This window comes from Homo sapiens, chromosome 15 (assembly GCF_000001405.40).
Source record: "Homo sapiens chromosome 15, GRCh38.p14 Primary Assembly".
In the NCBI taxonomy this organism is placed as follows: Eukaryota; Metazoa; Chordata; class Mammalia; order Primates; family Hominidae; genus Homo; species Homo sapiens.
The window spans coordinates 84,714,985-84,740,610 of record NC_000015.10 but is presented as its reverse complement, the minus strand read 5'-3'; the positions used below and the strand labels follow the sequence as shown (position 1 = coordinate 84,740,610).

At 45.9% G+C, this 25,626-nt stretch overlaps 1 protein-coding gene across 7 annotated transcripts in view, besides 10 other annotated features; it reads left to right on the top strand.

Moving 5' to 3' along the window:
- Nucleotides 4,066–4,125: an enhancer, noted in NCBI's record as "active region_9990". NCBI's record gives its function as "activates an Ori minimal core promoter by ATAC-STARR-seq in GM12878 lymphoblastoid cells {active_cell/tissue: GM12878}" and the evidence as "EXISTENCE:reporter gene assay evidence [ECO:0000049][PMID:35858748]".
- Nucleotides 5,406–5,495: an enhancer, noted in NCBI's record as "active region_9989". NCBI's record gives its function as "activates an Ori minimal core promoter by ATAC-STARR-seq in GM12878 lymphoblastoid cells {active_cell/tissue: GM12878}" and the evidence as "EXISTENCE:reporter gene assay evidence [ECO:0000049][PMID:35858748]".
- Nucleotides 5,516–5,575: an enhancer, noted in NCBI's record as "active region_9988". NCBI's record gives its function as "activates an Ori minimal core promoter by ATAC-STARR-seq in GM12878 lymphoblastoid cells {active_cell/tissue: GM12878}" and the evidence as "EXISTENCE:reporter gene assay evidence [ECO:0000049][PMID:35858748]".
- Nucleotides 6,082–6,985: an enhancer, noted in NCBI's record as "NANOG-H3K27ac hESC enhancer chr15:85276857-85277760 (GRCh37/hg19 assembly coordinates)". NCBI's record gives its function as "activates a minimal SCP1, AML or CMV promoter by ChIP-STARR-seq in naive H9 embryonic stem cells {active_cell/tissue: H9 hESC(naive)}" and the evidence as "EXISTENCE:reporter gene assay evidence [ECO:0000049][PMID:30033119]".
- Nucleotides 23,124–23,687: an enhancer, noted in NCBI's record as "H3K27ac-H3K4me1 hESC enhancer chr15:85260155-85260718 (GRCh37/hg19 assembly coordinates)". NCBI's record gives its function as "activates a minimal SCP1, AML or CMV promoter by ChIP-STARR-seq in naive and primed H9 embryonic stem cells {active_cell/tissue: H9 hESC(naive and primed)}" and the evidence as "EXISTENCE:reporter gene assay evidence [ECO:0000049][PMID:30033119]".
- Nucleotides 23,688–24,253: an enhancer, noted in NCBI's record as "H3K27ac-H3K4me1 hESC enhancer chr15:85259589-85260154 (GRCh37/hg19 assembly coordinates)". NCBI's record gives its function as "activates a minimal SCP1, AML or CMV promoter by ChIP-STARR-seq in primed H9 embryonic stem cells {active_cell/tissue: H9 hESC(primed)}" and the evidence as "EXISTENCE:reporter gene assay evidence [ECO:0000049][PMID:30033119]".
- Nucleotides 23,809–23,918: an enhancer, noted in NCBI's record as "active region_9987". NCBI's record gives its function as "activates an Ori minimal core promoter by ATAC-STARR-seq in GM12878 lymphoblastoid cells {active_cell/tissue: GM12878}" and the evidence as "EXISTENCE:reporter gene assay evidence [ECO:0000049][PMID:35858748]".
- Nucleotides 23,939–24,058: an enhancer, noted in NCBI's record as "active region_9986". NCBI's record gives its function as "activates an Ori minimal core promoter by ATAC-STARR-seq in GM12878 lymphoblastoid cells {active_cell/tissue: GM12878}" and the evidence as "EXISTENCE:reporter gene assay evidence [ECO:0000049][PMID:35858748]".
- Nucleotides 24,254–24,819: an enhancer, noted in NCBI's record as "H3K27ac hESC enhancer chr15:85259023-85259588 (GRCh37/hg19 assembly coordinates)". NCBI's record gives its function as "activates a minimal SCP1, AML or CMV promoter by ChIP-STARR-seq in primed H9 embryonic stem cells {active_cell/tissue: H9 hESC(primed)}" and the evidence as "EXISTENCE:reporter gene assay evidence [ECO:0000049][PMID:30033119]".
- SEC11A (SEC11 homolog A, signal peptidase complex subunit) overlaps nucleotides 24,472–25,626 on the top strand; it is a 46,596-nt gene continuing 45,441 nt past the window's right edge. For all 7 annotated transcript variants that reach the window (NR_073518.2, NM_001271921.2, NM_001271919.2 and 4 more), the window contains exon 1: nucleotides 24,472–24,586. Coding sequence is in view for 5 of the 7 variants with exons in the window: in NM_001271921.2 (NP_001258850.1) it covers nucleotides 24,536–24,586 (51 nt within the window). In the remaining 2 variants the exon portion in view is untranslated. The remainder of the gene's footprint in view (nucleotides 24,587–25,626) is intronic.
- Nucleotides 24,729–24,798: an enhancer, noted in NCBI's record as "active region_9985". NCBI's record gives its function as "activates an Ori minimal core promoter by ATAC-STARR-seq in GM12878 lymphoblastoid cells {active_cell/tissue: GM12878}" and the evidence as "EXISTENCE:reporter gene assay evidence [ECO:0000049][PMID:35858748]".

Below are 25,626 nucleotides of genomic sequence, written 5' to 3'. Positions count from 1 at the left end.
TTGCTTGAGCCCAGGAGTTCAAGGCTGCAGTGGCTGAATTGACTACTTATACATATCCCCCTACCCAGTGCCTAATCTTGTGTTTATCATTTTCTTGTTCTTAATGTATTTATACGTACGTGTGTGTGTGTGTGTGTGTGTGTGTATTTATGTATTTAGAGACAATGTCTTGCTCTGTCACCCAGGCTGGAGTGCAATGGTGCAATCATGGCTTACTGCAGCCTCAACCTCCCGGGCTCAGGTGATCCTCCCACCTCAGTCTCCTGAGTAGCTGGAACCACTGGCTTGCACCACCATGCACAGCTAATTCTTGTTTGTTTGTCTTTAAATTTATTCATTTTAAATTTTATTTTTGTAGAGACAGTTCTCTCTACAAAAATGTTGCCCAGGCTGGTCTCAAATTCCTGGCCTCAAACAATCCTCCTGCCTTGGCCTCTCAAAGTGCTGGGATTATAGGTGTGAGCTTACTGTACCCAGCAAAAATACTTTTATTTAAAAAATTTATTAAAAATTGTAAAATAGGCCAGGTGCGATGGCTCACACCTGTAATCCCAGCTCTTTGGGAGGCCAAGGCAGGCGGATCACCTGAAGTCAGGAGTTTGAGCCCAGCCTGACCAACAAGGAGAAACCCCATCTCTACTAAAAATACAAAATTAGCCGGGTGTGGTGGCACATATCTGTAATACCAGCTACTCGGTATTACAGGCTGAGGAAGGAGAATCGCTTGAGCCCGGGAGGCAGAGGTTGTGGTGAGCCGAGATCGCGCCATTGCACTTCAGCCTGGGCAACAAGAGAGAAACTCCATCTCAAAAAATAAAAAATAAAATAAATAAAATAAAAATAAAAAATTGTAAAATGGGGAATAGGCACAGTGGCTCATGCCTGTAATCCCAGCACTTTGGGAGGCCCAAGCAGGTGGATCACCTGAGGTCAGGAGTTTGAAACCAGCCTAGCCAATGTGATCTTTACTAAAAATACAAAAATTAGCTGGGCATGGTGGTGCACACCTGTAATCCCAGCTTCATGGGAGGCTGAGGCAGGAGAATTGCTTGAACCCAGGAGACGGAGGTTGCCATGAGCCGAGATCGCGCCACTGTACTCCAGCCTGGATGACAGAGCTAGACTCTGTCCCAGAAAAAAAAAAAAAAATTAAAATGGGCACAGTGGCATATGCCTATAATCTCCGTTACTTGGAAAGCTGAGACAGGAGAATCACTTGAGACCAAGAGTTCAAGTCCAGCCTGGGCAACAAAGTGTGACCCCCTCCATCTCTTAAAAAAAAATTAAAAGGCCTGTGAGCACACCATTGCATTCCAGCAGAATTTGTATACGTGTGTATATATACATACACACACATAAATTTTTGAAAACTAAAAAACCAGTTGGGTACAGTAAGTCATATATATTTGTATACATACATACACACACACACACACACACACACACACAGATACATGCATACATGTTCCCAAAACATATATCGTTAATTTTAGTTCTTGTTTTCTTTACTAAAACAGTGTCATTTCCTATGTAATATCCTGGGATTTCTTTTTCACTTTTTGTGTTATATTGTTAAAATTCATCTCAGGCTTGATGCATATAGTTGCATTTATTTCTCGCGGCTGCTATAGACAATTCTAATGTGTGACTATACTAACTTTCATTTTTCCCATGCAACAGAAACTCTTGGTGGCCTGTATTCTTATCCTTGGCCTCTTAGCCCTGAATATATGGTGGCCAGTTTCATGGGAGCCTTCGCTTACAATTTCCGCTGCAAGTGTCAGGTCTTGGGCCTCTCCAATTTCTGTTTCAAGGCCTTTTCAAAGCCATAAGAGCCTACTCAGCCCTCTCACAGGCGTAGTCTGAAAGTAAAGAGAATTAACACAACCTTCAACCAGTGGCAGGTATGAGCCAAGGAATAAATGCCCCAGTCTCCTATCCTTCAGATGGACAATTCTAGGAGGCATTTTTTACACTTTTCAGAGGACTCCAAAAATCAATCACGCCCCCTGCGCTGGCTTTCCCTCCTACCCTACCTCACTCGTTCCTCTCCGTTAGACCTGTTGTCCTCCACACACATCATCAATTCCCAAATACACAACCTGCACCCAAGTCCTTGTCTCAGGCTCTGCTTTTGGGGAACCCAAACTAATACACCCGATTTCCCAATATTGAGCATTGGGTTGTTGCAGATTTCTGTTATTGCAAAAGTGCTACCAAAAACTTTCATGTAAAACCCAACGCTGCTCAAATGCGAGAATTTCTTTTTTTTTTTTTTTTTTTTTGAGACGGAGTCTCGCTCTGTCGCCCAGGCTGGAGTGCAGTGGCGCAATCTCAGCTCACTGCAAGCTCCGCCTCCCGGGTTCACGCCATTCTCCTGCCTCAGCCTCCCGAGTAGCTGGGACTACAGGCGCCCGCCACCACGCCCAGCTAATTTTTTGTATTTTTAGTAGAGACAGGGTTTCACCATGTTAGCCAGGATGGTCTGGATCTCCTGACCTCGTGATCCGCCCGCCTCGGCCTCCCAAAGTGCTGGGATTACAGGCGTGAGCCACCGCGCCCGGCCAATGCGAGAATTTCTTTTTCTTATTTACATAGAAATAGAATTGGTGGTCACAATTCTATTGTGAATGTTCAGCTTCACAAGATAATTTCCAGTTGTTTACCAAAGTGGTTTTGGGGTTTTGTTTTGTTCTGGTTTGATTTTTTTAAACCAATTTACACTTCTAACAACATTGTATATGAGATTCTCTTGATCCACATCCTCTCCAATGCAAGCTATTGTCAGATTTCTTCATTTTTGCCACTCAAATAGACATCAAATGGAATCTCACTGTGGTTTTGACTTGTACCTCTCTGATGATTAATGAAGTTGAATATATCTTTATATGTTTATTGACCATAAATGTTTCATATTCTGAGAAATGCCTTCTCATAGCTTTGTCCACTTTTTTCTATTGGTTCATTGTCCTTTCTTCCTTAATTTTACTATGTTTTTGACAGTTATGGGCTTTTTCTTTGAACTCAAGTGTTCAGAATTGAATTAATCATAATTTTCATGTAATGTGATTTTTTTCCCCTGGTTACAAAAGTAAAGCATGCATGTTATAAAAGAAACAGGTAAAGAGTGCAGACATGTTGAACATAGAAAGAAAAGTCTCCTTTACTCTCAGCTCCACCCCACCTCCAGGCAAGAATAACTCCCATGGACAATTTGTCATTCCATGTCTTTAGATTTTTGTTTTCACATCTCTCTCCCAAATTAGATTGATAGTCTCTCGAGGGTAAAGACTGTATTGTATTCATTTGTGTATTCCCACCCCTAGCATAATGCCTGGTTCAGATCAGGAATGAAATACATTATTGTTGAATGAACTGCTGAAAGACGAGTTAGAACATAGGCTTTGAAGTTAGAAGACTTTGGTTTGCCTGGGGCAGAGAATTCAAGCAGGAGAAAAATGGGAGTACTAGTAAAGTGTGTTGGGCTTTGATTACTGAAAGCCTTGGCTATTGGGCCAGAGTGTTTGATTTTTATGTTGGAGGCAGTGGGGTGAGGGCATTCAAGACTTTTTAGGTAGAGAAAATTATTTATTCATATATGTATGAATTATTCATATTTATATATATATATATTTGTTTGTTTGTTTGTTTGTTTGTTTTAGACAGAGTCTCACTCTGTTGCCCAGGCTGGAGTGCAGTGATGTGATTTTGGCCCACTGAAACCTCTGCCTCCCAGCTTCAAGTGATCCTCCCACCCGAGCCTTCCTACCAGCTGGGATTACAAGTGAGTGCAACTGCACCTGGCTAATTTTTGTATTTTTAGTAGAGATAGGGTTTCACCATGTTGGTCAGGCTGGTCTTGAACTCCTGACTGCAGGTGATCTGCCCGCCTCAGCCTACCAAAGTGCTGGGATTACAGGCATGAGCCACTGTGCCACCTGGCCTATTCTTATGTTTTTACCAGCAACAGAATTAAAATGAGACATTGACAATCTAGTCATCTACTGGCATTGTACAGGATGTGAGGCGGAGGAGAAGGGGGAAAATGAAACTGGAGACAGAAAAATGAATGAATCAAGCAGTTGTGGCCGAATGCGGTGGCTCACACCTGTAGTCCTAGCACTTTGAGAAACCAAAACAGGCAGATCACTTGAGGCCAGGAGTTCAAGACCAGGTTGGGCAACATGGCAAAACCGCATCTCTACAAAAAAATACAAAAAAAAAAAAAAATTAGCCAGGTGTGGTGGCGCACAGCTGTAGTCCCAGCTACTTGGGAGAATCCTTTGAGCCCAGGAGGTTGACCGAGTGAGACCCTGTCTCAAAAGAAAAAAAAAAAAAGTTATTAACTTGGTATGGACACAGACTCCTATGACAAACTCATGAGAACTGTGGCTTCTTTCAGAAAAGTAGCTATAAACCTAAGCCCCTACATTTTTTGAGAATCCCTGGATTAGTGTCTTTTTTTTTTTTTTTTTTTTTTAAGACAGAGTTTTGCTCTGTCGCCAGGCTACAGTGCAGTGGCATGATAGCTCACTGCAACCTCCACTTCTTGGGTTCAAGCGATTCTCATGCCTCAGCCTCCCGAGTAGTTGGGATTACAGGCACGTGCCACCACACCCAGCTAATTTTTGCATTTTTAGTAGAGGCAGGGTTTCACCATGTTGGCCGGGAAGGTCTCAATCTCCTGACCTCATGATCCGCCCGCCTCAGCCTCCCAAAGTACTGGGATTACAGGCGTGAGCCACTGTGCCCAGCCTAGTGAGTCATTCTAAGAGTGAAAGAATAAGAACTTGCAGCATGTATTTATTTAGTCAGACATATTTATTAATCCCCTACTATGTATGTGCAAGGCACTGAGCTGAGTGCTGGGAACAGACACCATCCAGTATGAGGCATGCATTATGGTATGACATAGTGGTCAAGGGCACAGACCCTAAGCCCAGTTCTCTGCCTTCAAACCCCTGCCGGGTGACCTTGTTTAATAAAGCAACTGTACTCCACTTCTGTTTTATAGGGACAATACTGACACCATCCTCATGGGCTGCTGTGAAGATTAAATGAATGCTTCATGAGAGCTTGGGCTTGATGGCAGAAATGAGGGAGGAGAGAGAGGGCAGTAACTATGCGGAGGGCGGATGAGGGCAAGGAAGAATTTTAAAGGATGACAAGATTTTAAAGTAAAGCAGGAGAGGCTGAAGGTGCATCAGTCATGATCTGTTCTGTCCCCTAAGGGGGGCCAAATGGTGGGAGGGGAGAGATCGAGAGCAAACGCAGAGAGGCTGGCTTTAGCTAGGAAGATACTTCCGCTTGTGAGCTGGAGGGGAGGAGTCAAGTGTGGGTGCAGGTGCTGACTCTGAAGTAACCGCAGGCAAGAGGGAAGGAATGTCACCAAGGGGGGAGGGGTGAGGAAAAAGGAAAAGTTGTAACACACTGTCTCAAAGAGGGGATCTAGGAAGATGCAAATGTCAGGGATTATTCAGGACTGGTGAGCTGATAAGGGATACTGATCTGCCTGGTTGGGTAACTTCTGGTGGTCATGGGAGCTACAGGAGAAAAGCATTAAAAAAAAAAAAAAGGTGGGGTGGGGGAAGTGGTGAGTGCAGAATGTCACAGTGGTGAAATCCGGAAGAATAGAGACAGGGGAGGCTGGCCATTGTGGCTCACGCCTGTAATCCAAACACTTTGGGAGGTCAAGGCAGGTGGATTGCTGGAGCCCAGGAGTTCAAGACCAGCCTGGGCAACATGGAGAAACCCAGTCTCAATAAAAAAATTAGCTGGGCATTGTGGCACATGCCTGTAGTCCCAGCTATTTGAGAGGCTGAGGTGGGAGGATTGCTTGAGCCCAGCAGGTGAAGGCTGCAGTGAACCATAATCGTGCCACTGCACTCCTGCCTGGGCGACAAAGTGAGACCCTATCTCAAATAAAAAAAGAAAAGAAAGAGTTGGCCGGGCACGGTAGCTCACACCTGTAATCCCACTGCTTTGGGAAGCCAAGGCAGGCGATCACCTGAGGTCAGGAGTTCAAGACCAGCCTGGCCAACGTGGTGAAACCCTATCTCTACTAAAAAATACAAAAATTAGCCGGGCATGGTGGTAGGCACCTATAATCCCAGCTATTTAGGAAGCTGAGGCAGGGAGAATTGCTTGAACCTGGGAGGCAGAGGTTGCAGTGAGCCAAGATCACGCCACTGCACTCCAGACTGGGCAACAGAGTGAGACTCTCTCTCAGAAAAAAAAAAAGCGGGGGGGGGATTTGCTGGATTTGCCAACCCACTGGTCTTTACTGAAGTATCTTAAGGGTCACTAAAGTGTCACAGCAGGTGACTCATGGCAGAGAAGAAAAGGGAGAAAGAACAGTGAGGCAGTAAACCACATGCAATCTGAGAACACTGACTTTGCAATGAAAGGGAAAAGTAAGACATTAACCAGAAAGAATAACAGAGTGAAATGAGGTATATTTCTTTCTAAAGGTCAGAAAAGCTGTACTACTGCTATTTCTTCTTCTTCTTCTTCTTCTTCTTCTTCTTCTTCTTCTTCTTCTTCTTCTTCTTCTTCTTCTTCTTTTCTTCTTCTTTTTTCTCCTTCTCCTTCTCCTTCCCCTTCTCCTCCTCCTTTTCCTTCTCTTCTTCCTTCTTCCTTCTTCTAAGGTAAAGGCAGCAGTTGTAGAGCTGGCAGGAGAGGGAGGAATAGGGCTTCAAAAACTTAGCTGGAGGCCATGAGCAGTGGCTCACACCTATAATTCCAGCACTTTGGGAGGCCGAGGTGAGCTGATCACTTGAGGCCAGGAGTTCAAGACCAGCCTGGCCAACATGGCAAAACTGCATCTACTAAAAATACAAAAAACAAAACAAAACAAAACAAAAATTAGCTGGGCACTGGACTCCAGACTGGGTGACAGAGCAAGACGCTATCTCAAAAAAAAAAAAAAAAAAGTCAACTGGAGTATGATGCCAGCATAATACTATTGTAATTAGCTTCTGTGGGCCAGACATTTTCCATAAGAATATGTTATTCCCAATTTACAGAGGAGGAAACTGAGGCTCAGAGAAGCTAAGTCATTCGCCCAAGATCACACTGCTAGTCAATGGCAGAGTTAGGATTTGAGCCCAGGTCATATGACTCCAAAACACCAAAGCTTGCCTGCCTAATACCAGAGACAAGCAGAAATGTTAGCACTTTGAGGGAGAGGGGATACTTCTGTCCGCACCGAGGAAGGAAGAAAGGATTGGAAGAAACATATATACTAATGATTTATGTTCATTTATTATTTAGAATTATTCTCCTTCCCACACGAATATATAAGCATATAGATTTTTAAAAATTTCTTTTGATTTATTTGTTTTTGGTTTTGTTTTTGAGATGGAGTCTTACTCTGTTGCCCAGGCTGGAGTGCAATGGCACGATCTCAGCTCACCGCAACCTCTGCCTCCCAGGTTCAAGCGATTCTCATTCCTCAGCCTCCCGAAAAGCTGGGATTACAGACACCCGTCACCATGAGCGGCTAATTTTTTTGCATTTTTAATAGAGACGGGGTTTCACCATGTTGGCTAGGCTGGTCACGAACTCCTGACCTCAAGTGGTCCACCCACCTTGGCCTCCCAAAGTGCTGAGATTATATGGGTGAGCCACCACGCCTGGCCAATTTTTTAAATTTCTTTTGAGACAGGGTCTTGCTCTGTCACCCAGGCTGGAGTGCAGTGGTGCAAACACAGCTCACTGCCACCTCAGACTACTGGGCTCCAGTGATCCTCCTGCCTCAGCCTCCCAAGTAGCTGCGACTACCAATGTGTACCACCACACCAAGCTAATTTTTGACATTTTTAGTAGAGATGGGTTCTCACTATGTTGCTCAGGAGAGTCTTGAACTCCTGAGCTCAAAAGATCTTCCCACCTCAGCCTCCCAAAGTGCTGGGATTACAGGCGTGAGCCACCATGCTTGGCTGAAAGCATATAGATTTTTTTTAAGTTGGCATGATCGGTTTACATGACCAAGCACCTTTAAAAAAAAAAAAAAAGGCAGGCTGGGGATGATGGCTCATGCCTGTAATCCCAGCACTTTTGGAGGCTGAGGTGGATGGATCACTTTGAGGTCAAGAGTTCAAGACTAGCCTGCTCAACGTAGTGAAACCTCTGTCACTACTAAAAATAAAAAAATTTAAAAAATTAGCTGGGTGTGGTGGCAGGTGCCTGTAATCCCAGCTACTTGGGAGGCTGAGGCAGAAGAATCACTTGAACCCAGTAGGCAGAGGTTGCACTGAGCCGAGACCATGACATTGCACTCCAGCCTGGGCAACAAGAGTGAAACTCCATTTCAAGGAATATATGTATATATGTACAAAAAAATAGCCAGGCGTGGTGGCAGATGCCTGTAATCCCAGCTATGTGGGAGGCTGAGGCAGGAGAATTGCTTGAGCCCGGGAGGGAGAGGTTGCAGTGAGCTGAGATTGTGCCACTGCACTCCAGTCTGGGCAATAAAGTGAGACTCTGTCTCCAAAAAAAAAAGAAAAAAAAAAACCCAATGCAAAAAATTGGCATGATACAGGAAGTCTGACTTTACATAGAAGAAAATTCAGGCAAAGAACCAAGCTGAACTTTTGTGGTCAGAGAATGAACTGGACATGGCCAAGAATGTTAAAGCTGAGTATTTAGAACAGTGGTGTGGCTAATTGATTCACCCAGTCCTCTATCCAAATGGTTGCTTCATAGGAGAATCAATCCTCCCTTAAATACTCCCTTAATTCAAGAGAATGGAGGGGAAAATAGTTTGCATATATTGGCAAGTTGTTTATTGCAACTACAAGGATTTTTGTGATGTATGTCTCATCTATCAATATTTTCTGATGAGTGATTTCAAAATATCTGTCTAAAGAACAGACCTAGGCCAGGCGCGGTGGCTCACGCCTGTAATCCCAGCACTTTGGGAGGCCGACGCGGGCGGATCACGAGGTCAGGAGATCAAGACCATCCTGGCTAACACGGTGAAACCCCGTCTCTACTAAAAATACCAAAAATTAGCTGGGCGTGGTGGCGGGTGCCTGTAGTCCCAGCTATTCAGGAGGCTGAAGCAGGAGAATGGCGTGAACCCGGGAGGCAGAGTTTGCAGTGAGCTGAGATTGCGCCACTGCCCTCAAGCCTGGGCGACAAAGCAAGACTCCGTCTCACAAAAAAAAAAAAAAAAAAAAAAAAGAACAGACCTCATTTATATTTGCCAAACTCTCACATGCAAAAAATGCAGAAAAAACCAAAACCAAATCATAAAGCAAAGGGAACTGTACAGTTTCGTGGGCAGGTCACAGGCTAGAACCAGAGACATAAAAACTGACAGCCATGGTGAGCAAATTGGACAAACAGGACCCAAGGACTAGGACATGGTGAGGGGTCACTCCTGCTGCTATACCAATGCTCTAACCCCAGCGGTGACACCAAAAGGTGTTGAAAAAATGCCAAGGTTCAAGGGCATCTAGTAGACCAGGAAAGTACTGGAAAAGCAGATCTGAGCAAAAAGGAGGTCGCCATCTGACTCAGCTTGCAAATCAACCTCTACATGCCAAGCCCACCTATTTCTCAGGAAAATCCTGTTTATCACAACATACTTGGTATAAAAATATGATGAAAGTGAGGCCAGGTGCCGTGACTCACGCCTGTAATCCCAGCACTTTGGGAGGCCAAGGCGGGCAGATCACCTGAGGGGAGGAGTTCGAGACCAGCCTGGCCAAGATGGGAAACTCCATCTCTACCAAAAGTACAAAAAATTAGCCAGATATGGTGGGGCATGCCTGTAGTCCCAGCTACTCAAGAGGCTGAAGCAGGAGAGTTGCTTGAACCTGGGAGGCAGAGGTTGCAGTGAGCCGAGATCATATCACTGCACTCCAACCTGGGCAACAGAATGAGACTCCATCTTTAAAAAAAAAAAAAATTGGCCGGGCATGGCTCATGGCTGTAATCCCAGCACTTTGGGAGGCCAAGGCGGGTGGATCACCTGAGATCAGGAGTTCAAGAACAGCCTGACCAACATGGTGAAACCCTGTCTCTACTAAAAATACAAAAATTAGCCCATGTGGTGGCACATGTCTGTAATCCCAGCTACTCAAGAGGCTGAGCCAGAAGAATCACTTGAACCCAGGAGGCTGAGACCGCACCATTGCACTCCAGCCTGGGCAACAAGAGCAAAACTCTGTCTCAAAAAAAAAAAAATTAAATTAAATTAAATTAAAATTAAAAATTAGGTCAGGCATAATGGTTCACACCTGTAATTCCGCCACTTTTTGAGGCCAAGGCAGGTGGATTAACTGAGCTCAGGAGTTCAAAAGCAGCCTGGGCAACATGGGGAAAACCCATCTCTACAAAAAATACAAAAAATTACTTAGGTGTGGTGGTGCGCACCTGTAGTCCCAGCTACTTGGGATTTCTTGAGCCCGGGAGATTGACTGCAGTGAGCTGTGATTGCACCACTGCACTCCAGCCTATGCAATAGAGCAAGACCCTGTCTAAAAAAAAAAAAAATTTTTTTTAACTCGTTGGACCTGGTGGCATGTGCCTGTAGACCCAGCTATTTGGGAGGCTGGGCCTGAGGCTGCAATGAGCTTTAATCACATCACTGCACTTCAGCCTGGGCAACAGAGTTAGACTCTGTCTCTAAAAAATAAATAAATATGTAATATAAAAAACAAATGAAGTTAATTTTGATAATATACTTTTCTCAATATATCAAAAGTATTACCTGCACAGCAAAAGAAATAATCAACAGAGCAAACAAACAACCTACAAAATGGGAGAAAATATTTGCAAATTATTCATCTGACAAAGGACTAATATCCAGAGACTATAAGGAACTCAAACAACTCAACGACAAAAACAAATAACCTCCTTAAAAAGTAGGCAAAGAACACAAACAAACATTTCTCAAAAGAAGACACACAAGCAACCAACAACATATGAAAAAATACTCTACATCACCAATCATCAGAAAAATGCTAATTAAAACCACAATGAGATACCATCTTACACCAGTCAGAATGGATATTATTAAGCCAGGCATGGTGGCTCATGCCTGTAATCCCAGCACTTTGGGAGGCTGAGGTGAGAGGATTGCTTAAGCCCAGGAGTTTGAGATCATCCTGGGCAACACAGGGAGACCCCATCTCAACAAAAAATAAATTTAATTGGCTGGGTACAGTGGCTCACACCTGTAATCCCAGCACTTTGGGAGGATTATACTAAGTGAAATAACTCAGAAACAGAAAATCAAATAGTAAATGTTCTCATTTACAAGTGGGAACTGAACAATGGGCATACACGGATAGAAAGATGGAAATAATAGACAATGGAGCCTCTAAAAGCGGGGAGAGATGAGAAAAATGAGGAAGGGAGATGAGAGTTGAAAAACTACCTACTGGGACCATGTTTACTATTTGGGCAATGGGTACACTAGCATCCTAAACCTCTCCATTATGCAATATATCCATGTAACAAACCCATACATGTATTCCTTGAATCTATAGTAAAAGAAGAGGAACAGAGTTGTACTTGAGAATAGTAGTTAATGAGCATTGTTTTTCTAAATTGATGGTTTTAGAGCAGTCCACTAGCATAAGCCCATGTCATGTGACCAATGCCATGTGTTCTTTTTGTTTTGTATTTAAAAAACAAAAAAGTACTGCTGGGCACAGTGGCTCGCGCCTATAGTCCTTGCACTTTAGGAGGCCAGGGCAGGAGGACTGCTTGAGGCCATGAGTTCAAGACCTGCTTGGGCAACATACCAAGACCTTGTCTATAAATTAGCCAGGTGTGATGGCTAATATTGAGCGTCAACTTGATTGGATTGAAGGATGCAAAGTATCATTCCTTGGTGTGTCTGTGAGGGCGTTGCCAAAGGAGGTTAACACTTGAGTCAGTGGACTGGGAGAGGAAGACCCACCCTTAATCTGAGTGGGCACCATCACCTTGGCTGCCAGCACAGCTAGAAAAAGCAGAAGAGGGCCGGATGCAGTGGCTGACACCTGTAATCCTAGCACTTAGAGAGGCCGAGACGAGCAGATCACAAAGTCAGGAGTTTGAGACAAGCCTGGCCAATATGGTGAAACCCTCGTGTCTACTAAAAATACAAAAATCAGCCAGGCGTGGTGGTGGGCGTCTGCAGTCCCAGCTACTCTGGAGGCTGAGGCAGGAGAATCGCTTGAACCCGGGAAGCAGAGGTTGCAGTGAGCCGAGATCATGCCACTGCACTCCAGCCTGAGCAACAGAGCAAGATTCTGTCAAAAAAAGAAAGAAAGAGGAGAGGAGAAGAGAAAAGAAAAAGAAAAAGAAAAAGCGGAAGAAAGTGGAATGAACAGACTTGCTGAGTCTCCTGACCTTCATCTTTCTCCAGTGCTGAATGCTTCCTGCCCTCGGACACCTCAGCTTTTGGACTCCTGGACTTACGTCAGTGGTTTGCCAGGGGCTCTTGTGCCTTCTGCCACAGACTGAAGCTGCAGCTTTTCTACTTTTGAGGTTTTGGGACTCAGGATGGTTTTCTTGCTCCTCAGCTTGCAGGCGGCCTGTTATGGGACTTCACCTTGTGATCGTGTGAGCCAATACTCCTTTTTTTTTTTTTTTGAGCTGGAGTTTCGCTCTTGTCACCTAGGCTGGAGTGCAATGGCACAATCTCGGCTCACTGCAATCTCCACCTCCCGGGTTCAGGCAATTCTCCTACCTCAGCTTCCCAAGTAGCTGGGACTGCAGGCATGCACCACCATGTCCGACTAATCTTGTATTTTTAGTAGAGACGAGTTTTCACCATGTTGGCCAGACTGGTCTCAAACCCCTGACTTCAGGTAATCAGCCTACCTCAGTCTCCCAAACTGCTGGGATTATAGGCATGAGCCACCGCGCCTGGCCCAGTACTCCTTAATAAACTCCCTTTCATATATACATCTATGCTATTAGTACTGTCCATCTAGAGAACCCTGACTAATACACCAGGCATGATGGCATGCGCCTGTAGTCCTGGCTACTCTGCAGGCTGAGGTGGGAGGATCGCTAGAGCCCAAGAGTTGGAGTTTGAGGCTGCGGTGAGCTATGATCCAGCCACGGCACTCCAGCCTAGTCAAGAGAGATCTTGCTTCAAAAAAAAAAAAAAAAGTATGATCATCCCTTCTTGAAATCAGTGTAATTGGTAGTTTATATTCTTTTTTCATACCAAGTCTTCCATATCTAGGATGTATTTATCAATTGCAGTACATCTCAATTTGGACTAAGCCTCATTTCAAGTACTCACGAGCCCCATGTGGTGAGTGGCTATTGTGTTGGACAGTTCAGACATAGAAACCACTCTTAGCATTTCAGCATTAGAGTATTTTCTTTGTACTTTTTTTCTCTTTTCTTCCTTCCTTCTTTTTTTCTTTGAAAACATGTTTAATTGGGTAAGCTGGATTTTGAAGGAAGTGAGGAAAATTCATATTCTGAGAGTCTCTAGTTTTAAATTTTAAGTGTTTCCAGTACAGCTCTCCATTGTTTGTTTTTAAGTGTTTTTGTTTGTTTGTTTGTTTTTTGTGACAGAGTTCTGCTCTGTCACCCAGGCTGGAGTGCAGTGGCACAGTCTCATCTCACTGCAACCTCTGCCTCCCAGGTTCAGGCAATTCTCCTGCCTCCGCCTCCTGAGTAGCTGGGATTACAGGTGCACGCCACCATGTCCGGCTAATTTTTGTATTTTGTAGAGACGGGGTTTCACCATGTTGGCCAGGCTGGTCTTGAGCTCCTGACCTCAGGTGATCCGCCTGCCTCAGCCTCCCAAAGTGCTGGGATTACAGGCATGAGCCACCATGCCTGGCCCTATTTTTACTTTTTTAAGATGGGGTCGGGCTCTGTCACCCAGGCCGGAGTGCAGTGGTGCAATCTTGGCTCACTGCAGCCTTGACCTCCTGGCTCAAGCGATCCTCCCACCTCAGCCTCCCAAATATCTGGGACTACATATGTGTGCCACCACACCCGGCTAATTTTTGTATTTTTTGTAGATACGGCATTTCACTATGTTGCCCAGGCTGGTTTCAAACTCTTGAGCTCAAGTGATCTGCCCATGTTGGCCTACCAAAGTGCTGGGATTCCAGGCGTGAGCCACCGTGCCCTGCTGTTTGTTTGTTTTTAAAAACTCAGGTGTGGCCGGGTGCTGGTGGCTCACGCCTGGAATCCCAGCACTTTGGGAGGCCGAGGTGGGCGGATCATGAGGTCAAGAGATGGAGACCATCCTGGCCAACACTGTGAAACCCCTTCTCTACTAAAGATACAAAAATTAGCTGGCCGTAGTGGCACACGCCTGTACTCCCAGCTACTTGGGAGGCTGAGGCAGGAGAATCGCTTGAACTCGGGAGGCAGAAGTTGCAGTGAGCTGAGATCGCACTACTGCACTCCAGCCTGGGCAATAGTGAGAGACTCCATCTCGATAAAACAAAACAAAACAAAACTAGGTGCACAGATTCTTTTGGGAAGATAAAAAGGCAGGAGAAGCCAGACGTGGTGGCTCATGCCTGTAATCCCAGCACTTTGGGATCACAAGTTCAAGAGATCGAGACCATCCTGGCCAACATGGTAAAACCTTGCCTCTACTAAAAATACAAAACTTAACTTGGTGTGCTGGCGCGCGCCTGTAGTCCCAGCTACTCGGGAGGCTGGGGCAGGAGAATTGCTTGAACTTGGGAGGCGGATGTTGCAGTGAGCCGAGATTACACCACAGCACTCCAGCCTGGGCCGCAGAGCGAGACTCCATCTCAAAAAAAAAGAAAAAACGCAGGAGAATGTGTTGCAGGTGCTGCTGATGAACACTCATTTCCTTTTATTCATTTGTTCATTTCTTTTCTCTCTCTTTTTATTTTTTATTTTTTGAGACAGGGTCTCACTCTGTTGCCCAGGCTTTAGTACACGTAGCTATTTTTTTTCTCATTTTTTGTAGAGATGGGCCTCCCTATGTTGTCCAGGCTGGTCTTGAACTCCTGGGCTCCAGCAATCCTCCTGCCTCAGCCTCCCAAAGTGCTGGGATTACAGGCATGAGCCATTACACCTGACCCATTTTTTCTCCTAGCAGCAGTTACTGGACATCAACTATGGGCCAGGGACTGCAACTTGGGATAGCTTTACAGACATGTTGCCTGGCTTGTGAAGCCTACAATTTACCAGAAGAGCCAGACAAGTAATGACAATAAAATGTGATAAGTGTTGTGATAGGGGAAGAATGAAGGGCTCAGTGGCTGCCTGGGAGAATAATTTAAGCCATTTTGGGAGATAAGAGAAGGCTTTGGTTGTTGGGGGTGGAGGGAATGATGTCTAAGATGGAACCTAAAGATTAAGTAAAGAATGGCTAAGCAAAGGGGAGAAATAAGGGCTAGAGAATGCCAGAAAGAGTGGCTTTAAGGAATGCCCAGAGCCTTTTGGGGAACTGAAAGAAGTTATGTGTGGTTAGGGCCTCCAGGGTGAGGGGTGAGGCTGGTATTGTGCATTATTCTCTGGGCAGCCTAGTTAACAGTGGGAGTTGGGAGGCAGGATGTTGACAAATCTGGACTAGGCAGGCCCAACACAGGAAGTACTCCACCCCAAAAATATTCGTTCACCAGTTCAGTTTGAGTTCACCAGTTATAGACCCAAATGTGTTAATGAGCTTTTCTTTAGGACAGCAAGAATCTCTGGTGAGGCACTGACACCTTATTTTAGATTCAGAAGATTGAACATGATAGAAGTTCCATGTAATAAGGGACATATAAAAATACTGGCCGGGCGCGGTGGCTTATACCTGTAATCCTAGCACTTTGGGAGGCCAAGACGGGTGGATCACGAGGTCAGGAGATCGAGACCATCCTGGCTAACACGGTGAAATCCTGTCTTTACTAAAAATACAAAAAATTAGCTGGCCTGGTGGCGGGTGCCTGTAGTCCCAGCTACTGGGAAGGCTGAGGCAGGAGAATGGCGTGAACCCGGGAGGTGGAGCTTGCAGTGAGCCGAGATGGCGCCACTGCACTCCAGCCTGGGCGACAGAGCGAGACTCCGTCTAAAAAAAAAATACGTATAGGCCGGGTGCGGTGGCTCATGCCTGTAATCCCAGCACTTTGGGAGGCCGAGGCAGGCAGATCACCTGAGGTCAGGAGTTCAAGACCAGCCTGGCCAACATGGTGAAACCCCGTCTTTACTAAAAATACAAAAATTAGCCAGGCATGGTGGCAGGTGCCTGTAATCCCAGCTACTCGGGAGGCTGAGGCAGGAGAATTGCTTAGAATCCAGGGGGAGGAGGTTGCAGTGAGCCGGGATCGAGCCACTGCACCCCAGCCTAAGTGACAGAGTGAGACTCTGTCTCAAAAAAAAAAAAAAAAAAAAGTACATATAAAATATAGGTATGGGGGCCAGGCGCGGTGCCTCACGCCTGTAATCCCAGCACCTTGGGAGGTCGAAGCGGGTGGATCACCTGAGGTCAGGAGTTTGAGACCAGCCTGGCCAACATGATGAAACCCCATCTCTACTAAAAATATAAAAAATTAGCCGGATGTGGTGGCTGGCGCCTGTAATCCCAGCTCAGGAGGCTGAGGCAGGAAAATCGCTTGAACCCGGGAGGCAGAGGTTGCAGCGAGCCAAGATCAAGTCACTGCACTCTAGCCTGGGCAACAAGAGTGAAAACTCCATCTCAAAAAAAAAAAAAAATAGATAGATAGAAAGATATGGCCGGGCACAATGGCTCACACTTATAATCCCAACACCTTGGGATGCTGAGGTGGGAGGATTGCTTGAACCCAGGAGCTCAAGATCAGTCTGGGCAACATAGCAAGAACCCATCTCTACAAAAAATAAAAACATTAACCAGGTGCCGTGGCACCTGCCTCTAGTGTCAGCTATTCAGGAGGCTGAGGTGAGAGGATTGCTTGAACCCAGGAGGTAGAGGCTGCAATGAGCTGTAATCACACCACTGCACTCCAGCCTGGGTGACAGAGGGAGACCCTGTCTCAAAAAAAAAAAGAAAAAAGAAAAAAAAGAAACAGGTGAGGAACTAATGAAAAGGCAATTAACTCTGACTTGGGGCGGTCTGGACAGGCTTCACGTAGGATATGACACCTAGACAGGGTCTGGAAGAGAAGCAGGAGTTTGTCAGCCCTCTAAGTGGGAGGACATTCTGATAATAACCATGATTTACTGATTTACTAAGTGTCAGGCACTGTTCTGGTGGTATATTGTTTTGTTTTGTTTCGTTTTTTTGAGATGGAGTCTCGCTCTGTTGCCCAGGCTGGAGTGCAATGGCACGATCTCGGCTTACTTCAACCTCTGCCTCCCAAGTTCAAATGACTTTCCTGCCTCAGCCTCCCAAGTAGCTGGGATTACAGGTGCATACCACCATGCCCGACTAATTTTTTTTTTTTTTGTATTTTTAGTAGAGACGAGGTTTCACCATATTGGCCAGGCTGGTCTTGAACTCCTGACCTTGTGATCTGCTCACCTCAGCCTCCCAAAGTGCTGGGATTACAGGTGTGAGCCACCACACCCGCTGTTTGGTTTGTTTTTAGAGAGACAGGGGTCTTGTTCTGTCACCCAGGCTGGAATGCAGTGGTTGGATCATAGCTCACTGTGGCTTTGCACTCCTGGGCTTAACTGATCCTCCTGCCAGGGCCTCTCAAAGTGCTGGGATTACAGGTGTAAGACACTGCACCTGGCTCTAGTGGGTTTTATTCATTAGCTCACTTAATCCTTTTTTTTTTTTTTTTTTTTGAGACAGGGTCTTGCTCTGTCTCCCAGGCTGGAGTGCAGTAGTGCAACCATGGCTCACTGTAGCCTCAACCTCCCGGGCTCAATGGATCTTCCCACCTCAGCTTCCTGAGTAGTTGGGACTTCAGGCATGTGCCAACATGCCTAACTAATTTTTGCGTTTTTTGTAGAGACAGGGTTTCACCATGTTGCCCAGGCTGGTCTCAAACTCCTGGCCTCAGCAATCCACCTACCTTGACCTCCCAAAGTGCTAGGATTGTAGGCATCAGCCACTGCACCCAGACTAGCTCACTTAATTCTAATAATAATAATTTAAAAAACCCTGGGTGCTAAAATATCTGTTTACAGATGAAGAAATGGAGGCATATAGAGGTAAAGTAACTCATCTAGAGTCACACAGTAAGGGTTAGAGCAGTTTGGCTCCAGAGATCACTTCTTTAATTCCTATGACATATGCTGGAGTATAGATGGTTGAGTATGTCTGGACTATAGGGTAACAAGTTGGCAAGGAACGTCAGATATCAAGTTGATGAAAGAGGCAGTAGCCTGCTGGGAGCAGTGGCTCACGCCTGTAATCCCCAGCACTCTGAGAGGCCAAGACAGGTGGATCACCTGAGGTCAGGGGTTTGAGACCAGCCTTACCAACATGGTGAAACCCTATCTCTACTAAAAATACAAAAATTAGCTAGGTATGGTGGTGCACATCTGTAATCCCAGCCACTCGGGAGGCTGAGGCACAAGAATCGCTTGAACCTGGGAGGGGGAGGTTGCAGTGAGCTGAGATCATGCCACTGCCCTCCAGCCTGGGTGACTAAAAGAAAAGGAGAGGAGGCAGTAGCCAAATCACACAGATTCAGCGTGAGTACCTTGAAGAGAGGCTCTTAGGAGACTTTAGGTAAATATTTTAAAGTACTTGAATGTATATATAAATGATTGCTAATGAATGTGATTGTATTCTGGATATCCATATCCAGATTTACACAAGCCACATTTCCAGTGGTGATTAACTGCCTCAACAGATTCCTATAGGATCCCTTAACCTATCAAGAGGGATATCAAGAGCCAATTCCCTGTCATTAACTATGAGATCCAAGAGCTCAAAAGGCAACTTTTCCAAGAGGGAGGAGGTGCAGGCCCAGTTAGAGGGAAGAGGCTAAGGGTGTCCCCACTCTTGATCCTCTACCCACACGACATCCACATTCACAACAGGGATCTCTCCTCTCTAAGGACTCACAAAACAAACATCAAGGCCCCTTTCTTCTTCAGCTAAAGCAGTATAGCCAAGCAGGAAATTGATGGGTCCTCCCCAACCCCCATCACATATACGCACATACCAACCCAGAAGGCTGGTGCTTCCCTCTTACAGCTGTCCCTGCAGCTGTCTGGGACTTTTTAAAGAGAGCTTTCCAAAAATCTTCCAGGGAGACTTGGGTGACTCCAGTAATCTCTCTGCACAGAAGGTGCCTTTGATTTTTGAGAATGACATTTCTGTCATCCCATCCTATACAGAGCTGCTACATCTTTTAAAACCTTGGTCTCTGATGTCCATAGCCACTGGGTTGGTAGGCAGAAAGTTCCCATCTCTGCATCCACCTGACCTGACCTCAGGCAGCCCCCAGCAAACTGAGATAGATCCTTGTGGGAGATGGCACCAGGGAAGAGCCACATCTCCAGTGTGGCCTATGCACCAGCTTGCTGTGATATGCCTGGGCCACTTCCTTTTCTGGCAGGGTCATAGAGGACCTTCTGCTTCTACCCACCACTTCCTACATTGAGAAGGTGAAGGAGAAACTGGTAAGATTATAATTATTTTTAATAGAGTTTTAAAAACATGAAGTCAGGCCGGGTGCGGTGGCTCATGCTTGTAATTCCAGCACTTTGGGAGGCCGAGGGGGGCAGATCACCTGATGTTGGGAGTTCGAGACCAGCCTGACTAACATGCCGAAACCCTGTCTCTACTAAAAATAAAAAATAAATAAATAAATAAATAAATAGCCAGGCGTGGTTGCGCATGCCTGTAATTCCAGCTACTTGGGAGGCTGAGGCAGGAGAATCACTTGAGCCCAGGAGGCAGAAGTTGCGGTGAGCCGAGATTACACCATTGCACTCCACTCCAGCCTGGGCAACAATAACAACAACAAAAAAACCCACATGACGTCTACTTTGCTTCTGCTGGTAGAGACCCTTGATTTGTACAGAAGTGGTTAACCAGGGCTCAACCATAATGACAGACCTTCCTAGCCTAGAATTTGTGTATCAGTTTGAACCCACTTCTTGTTTTGAATAATTATTAAATTCTTTGTCCACTTACCATTTGTCATCCATTGTGACAACAGCTTTATTTATTTATTTATTTATTTTATTTATTTTTTGAGATAGAGTCTCTCTTTGTCGCCAAGACTGGAGTGCAGTAGCACAATTATGGCTCACTAAGGGATCAACTTTCAGGACTCAATCGATCCTCCTGACTCAGCCTCCCGAGTAGCTGGAACTACAGGCATGTGTCCCCACACCTGGCTAATTTTTAAAATTTTCTGTAGAGATGAGGCTTCCACTATGTTGCCCAGGTTGGTCTCGAACTCCTGGGCTCGAGTAATCTGCCCACCTTGGCCTCTCAAAGTATTGGGATTACAGGCGTCAGCCACCATGCCCAGCCCCCAACAGCCTTATTTACATGTACTATTTTGTTAAATCCTCAAATGACATAAATTCTTTTCTATTCCTACTTTACACACCAGAAAACTAGGGATTAAAAAATTGCTAACTGAGTTGGGCATGGTGGCATGCGCCTGCAGTCCCAGCTACTTGGGAGGCTGAGTGGGAGGATTGCTTGAGCAATCTAGGCTTCAGTGGTCTAGGCTTCAGTGAAGGGTGATCACATCACTGCACTCCAGCCTGGGTGACAGAGTGAGACTCTGTCTGTAGAAACATTAAATTAAATAAATTTTTTTGGAAAAAGAGTTAACTAATTGGTCCAAGATCAAACAGCTGGCAATTGATCTGTGATTCAAAGCCAAGTGGGTCTAACTTAACTTCTATACTAAGATGCTTCCTTCAGGGGGGCCAGCAGGCTCTCTGTAAAGGAAAATGCCAGACATAACACTGTGATTGACAGGGCCCAAAAGACTTATGTGTCAGAAAGATTGCCATCCCAGTCGGCAGAGAAAATAGCATGTCAGAGTCCCACATTTGGAAAATTGAATTCCTTAGGCTTTATATCAAGTCTGGGATCACCTGTCCTAAATATCTGAATTATTTTCATAAGAGACACCGAGCAGTATAAGAAACCTCATTAAGCCTTTGCAGATCCTCCTAGTTTATATCACTCTCCCCTGGTCCCGTTCCTTTCTCATGCATTCTTTTTTTTTTTAAGACAGAGTCTCACTCCATTGCTCAGGCTGGAATGCAATGGTGTGATCTTGGCTCACTGCAACCTCTGCCCCCCGGGATCAAGCGATTTTCCTGCCTCAGCCTCCGAGTAGCTGGGACTACAGGCACCTGCCACCATGCCTGGCTAAGTTTTGTATTTTTAGTAGAGACGGGGTTTCACCATGTTGGCCAGGCTGGTCTCAAACTCGACCTCAGGTGATCCATCTGCCTCGGCCTCCCAAAGTGCTGGGATTACAGACATGAGCCACCGTGCCTGGCCTAATTTTTAGTTTTAGTAGAGCAGAGGTCTCACTTTGTTGTCCAGGCTGGTCTTGAACTCCTGGGCCAAAGGGATCTTTCCCCCTTGGCTTCTCAAAGTGCTGGGATTACAGGCGTGAGCCACCGTGCCTGGCCTGACACCCTTTTTAAGCTCCCCACAAGCCTCCCCAACTGAACTGACTTTTGCCACATCTGAAACTCCACAGGACTTTACGCCTCTCTTAGGGCTCTTTTCTACACATTACAAGATTGATACTCATTTAAATAGTTGCTGGCGCTCACTTTTAGATTTGAATTCAACATTAATAGGCATAGGCCAAGGGTTCTACTAGCGAGAATTTAGACTAGAACCCATATTTAACATTTATTAACAAATACTTATTGAGTGTCTGCTACATGTCTGGTACTCTTATGGAAGCTGGAGATAAAGGGGTGGACAAGACAATGTCCCTGTCCTCATGGAGTTCACATGTATTTTCTTCCACAAGTCTTCCTAAATTGGATAAATTAGGAATTTTTTTTCAACTCAATAAGTGTGGGGTGCCTAGAGGCAGCAGTTTTTGGAGGTGACAAAAATACACACACACACACACACACACTTTTAAATTCAACAAGTATTTATTGGGTATAACATGTGCTAGGCTATGTGTTCACCACTAGGAATTTAACAGTGAGCCAGACACCAGTGGTTTCTTTTTCTTTCTCATAATAGCTTTATTGTGATATAATACACATACCATACAATTCACCAGTGTAAAGTGTACAATTTAATGGTTTTGAGTATATTCACATAGTTGTAGAACTAGCATCCCCTAAAAGAAACTCCATACCCATTAGCAGCCACTCCCCATTTTCCCCAACTCTCCCAGCCCTAGGCAACCACTGATTTCCATCTCTGTGGATTTGTCTATTCTAGATATTTCACCTAAATGGAATCATGCAATGCTTTGTCTTTTGTGACTGGATCCTTTCACTAAATCTGTTTCAAGGGTCATTCATGTTGTAGTATTTCCTTTTGTTGCCAGATTAATATTCCATTGTACCAGCGGAATTATTAGTACATTATTCCAATATACCACATTTATTTATCCCTTCATTAGTTGATAAACATTTCAGTTATTTCCACTTTTTAGCTATTATGAATAATGCTGCTGTGAACATTCATGTACAAGTTTTTGTGTGGACAAACGTTTTCAATTTTCTTGGGTATATACCTAGCAGTGGAATTGCTGGTTAATATGGTGATTCCATCTTTAACCTTTTTTTGTTTGTGTGTTTTGAGATAGGGTCTCACTTTGTCGCCCAGGTTGGAGTGCAGTGGCACGATCTCGGCTCACCGCAAACTCTGCCTCCTGGGTTCAAGCGATTCTCCTGCCTCAGCCTCCCCAGTAGCTGAGATTACAGGTGCCCACCACCACACCCGCCTAATTTTTGTATCTTTAGTAAAGACGGGTTTTCACCATGTTGGCCAGGCTAGTCTGGAACTCCTGACCTCAGGTGATCTGCCTGCCTCAGCCTCCCAAAGTGCTGGGATTACAGGCATGAGCCACTGCAGACGGCACATCTTTAACCTTTTGAGCAACTGCAGCTATTTCCCAAAGTGGCTGCACCATTTTACATTCCCACCAGCAGTATATGAGGGTTCCAATTTCTTCACATCTTCCCCTAAACTTATTATTATTTGTCTTTTTTATTACAGCCATCCTCCAATAAATTCAAGTTTTTATTTTGGAATGACTTTCCATTTAAAGAATTTCGAGGATACTACAAAGAGTTCCAGTATATCCTTCATTCATCTTTCCCTAATGGGAGAGAAGGATTATTTTGAAAAAAAAAAAAAAAAAAAAAAAAGAGAGAGAAATGATACCAAGTAATCCAGCTTTAGTCTTTGTTGACTGAAGTGCGTATTAGGAGCTTTGGCCAGTCAAAGCAAAAGGTAGCGAAAAGATAGTCACTTCAAGGTGTCCAAGTTAAGAAAACCAGGAGGTAGAATTCAAGGAGACCATGTCAAATCCTGTCAGCAAAGTCAAGGTCAGAAAGGAAGCCACTTCCTAACGACCCACACCACTGGTGGTCTCATCACGCTGTTGCACCATTTGGATGTTTTCTAATTCTCCCGGGCTGTTTTCTCTCCAATTGGACTGTAAACTCCTGGCAGGCTCAGGCAGTGCTCGGAAGGTCTCTCACACGGTCCAACCTTACGCGAAAAGCACTTATTGAAAGCACCTCGATGGCCGGGCGCGGTGGCTCACGACTGTAATCCCAGCACTTTGGGACGCCAAGGCGGGCGGATCACCTGAGCTCAAGAGTTCGAGACCAGCCTGGCCAACATAGTGAAACCCTGTCTCTACTAAAAATACAAAAATTAGCCAGGTTTGGTGGCGCGCGCCTGTAGTCCCAGCTACTTGGGAGCCTGAGGCAGGAGAATCGCCTGAACCCGCGAGGCGGAGGTTGCAGTGAGCTGAGATTGCGCCACTGCACTCCAGCCTGGGCGACACAGTGAGAAAGAAAGGAAAGAGAGAAAGAGAAAGAAAAAGAGAAAGAGACAGACAGACAGAAAGTAAGCAAGCAAGCAAGCAAGCACCTCAACAGAGACAGAGACGTAAAGAAAGAGAGACAGAGACAGAAAGAAAGAAAGCACCTCCTCAGCTTCCCATAGCGCAGGAGACTTGCTCGACCAGAGAACCTACGGTCAGACGACACATCCACTGCCACACCCATACCCAAGCCGGGACGCGGAACCGCTTCTACCCGCCCACACCGGAGAGGTTGCTCGCGATTGGCCGGGCGGGCACAGAGGCCCGCCTTCCGAAGGTGGCAGAGCAGCCTCCCCAACTAAGCCTGGGTCGCCGCCTCGGTGAAGGGCCGCGGGGCCGAGCGCGGGAAGTGGCGTCCAGTCGGTTTTTGGCAGGCGAGAGCCAGAGCGTGAGAACCCTCCCACGGCGAGGCCAAGCCCTGAGACTGGACTAGCAAGGTCGTGAGTCTCTCTGTCAGCTCTCCGCAGCGAAGGGGCGCGGGGGGCGGGGACCGTGCCCGACCGTGCCAGCTCCCGCCCCGGAAGCGGAAGTGCAAGCACTGCGGGGTCCTGTCCAGTGTGAGCCCGACCCGAGCTCCAGTAGTTCCGCCCGCTGGTCATCGCGCCCTTTCCCCTGCCGGTGTCCTGCTCGCCGTCCCCGCCATGCTGTCTCTAGACTTTTTGGACGATGTGCGGCGGATGAACAAGCGGCAGGTGAGCTTGTCCGTCCTCTTTTTCTCCTGGCTCTTCTTGTCCCTTCGAGGCTGCTGCTGCGGGGCCCGGCGGACCCCAGGGTTCTGGTGTGAGGGTCTGAGCTGGTCTGATACCCGGGTCATTCGCTTTCTTTGGAGACTGTGGCCAGAGGCCGCCTTGTCCGCCTCATTATTTTTAACCCCGAACTGATTCAGGGCCTACCGGGGGCGGGGCGGGAAGCGGTGTCTTCACGTTCCATTCCTCCCACTGAGGCAGGGGAGCAAATGGAAACCGTACGCGCTTGAAGTGGGAGTTGGGGTTGCTTATTGTTTTAGTCATTTTAAGGCGGCGGACTCTTGATTTCTCCAGTCGGAGCGACTCCAGGTGGTTTCGGGAGAGACGAGGTTTAGCCGGTTTCTGGGGCGCTCAGGAAGGCGATTGGAGGCCCCACAAAAACCGTTTTGCTGCTTTCAGCTCCTTGCAACCCTTTAGTAGAGCTGAACCGTAGCGGGCTGCACCGACTTTGACTTGGACCACTCTGGGCTCCGAGTTGGAACAGTTACACTACTTGCCCTTGCGTCCGCTTAGCACTAAGGCGGCAGCCCTCGGAATCTATGGTTTTACAGTCCAATATCAGTGCCACGGGGATCTGGAAATGTAGGTCTCCTGATTTTGTCCTTACACTTTACTTTGATCTTCTAGATCGTATGCCAAATAGTACTGAGAATATTGTTGTAATTATTTAGTCCTTAGAAAAGGTTGTTCTGTTTTATCTTTTGCGCCTAGTGTGTCTGTAGAGCCTAGTTTTGCTGCATCGGACTTTTTTTTTGTTTTAAACAGTATTTTACTGTTATGATTATCCTGATGTCACCATTAAGGATTTTTTTTCCTTGGACTTGCATTTTTTGTACTTATAACTGCCACTTAGGGAAGTAGATACACAACCTTTCCTTACTCCCCTTCAGGCCTTAGCTAGCTCAGTGTCAATTCTGTCAGTCAGAATTGAGCATTCTATAAAAATTGCGCAAACGTTACTTTATGTCTTTATGACAACACTTCAA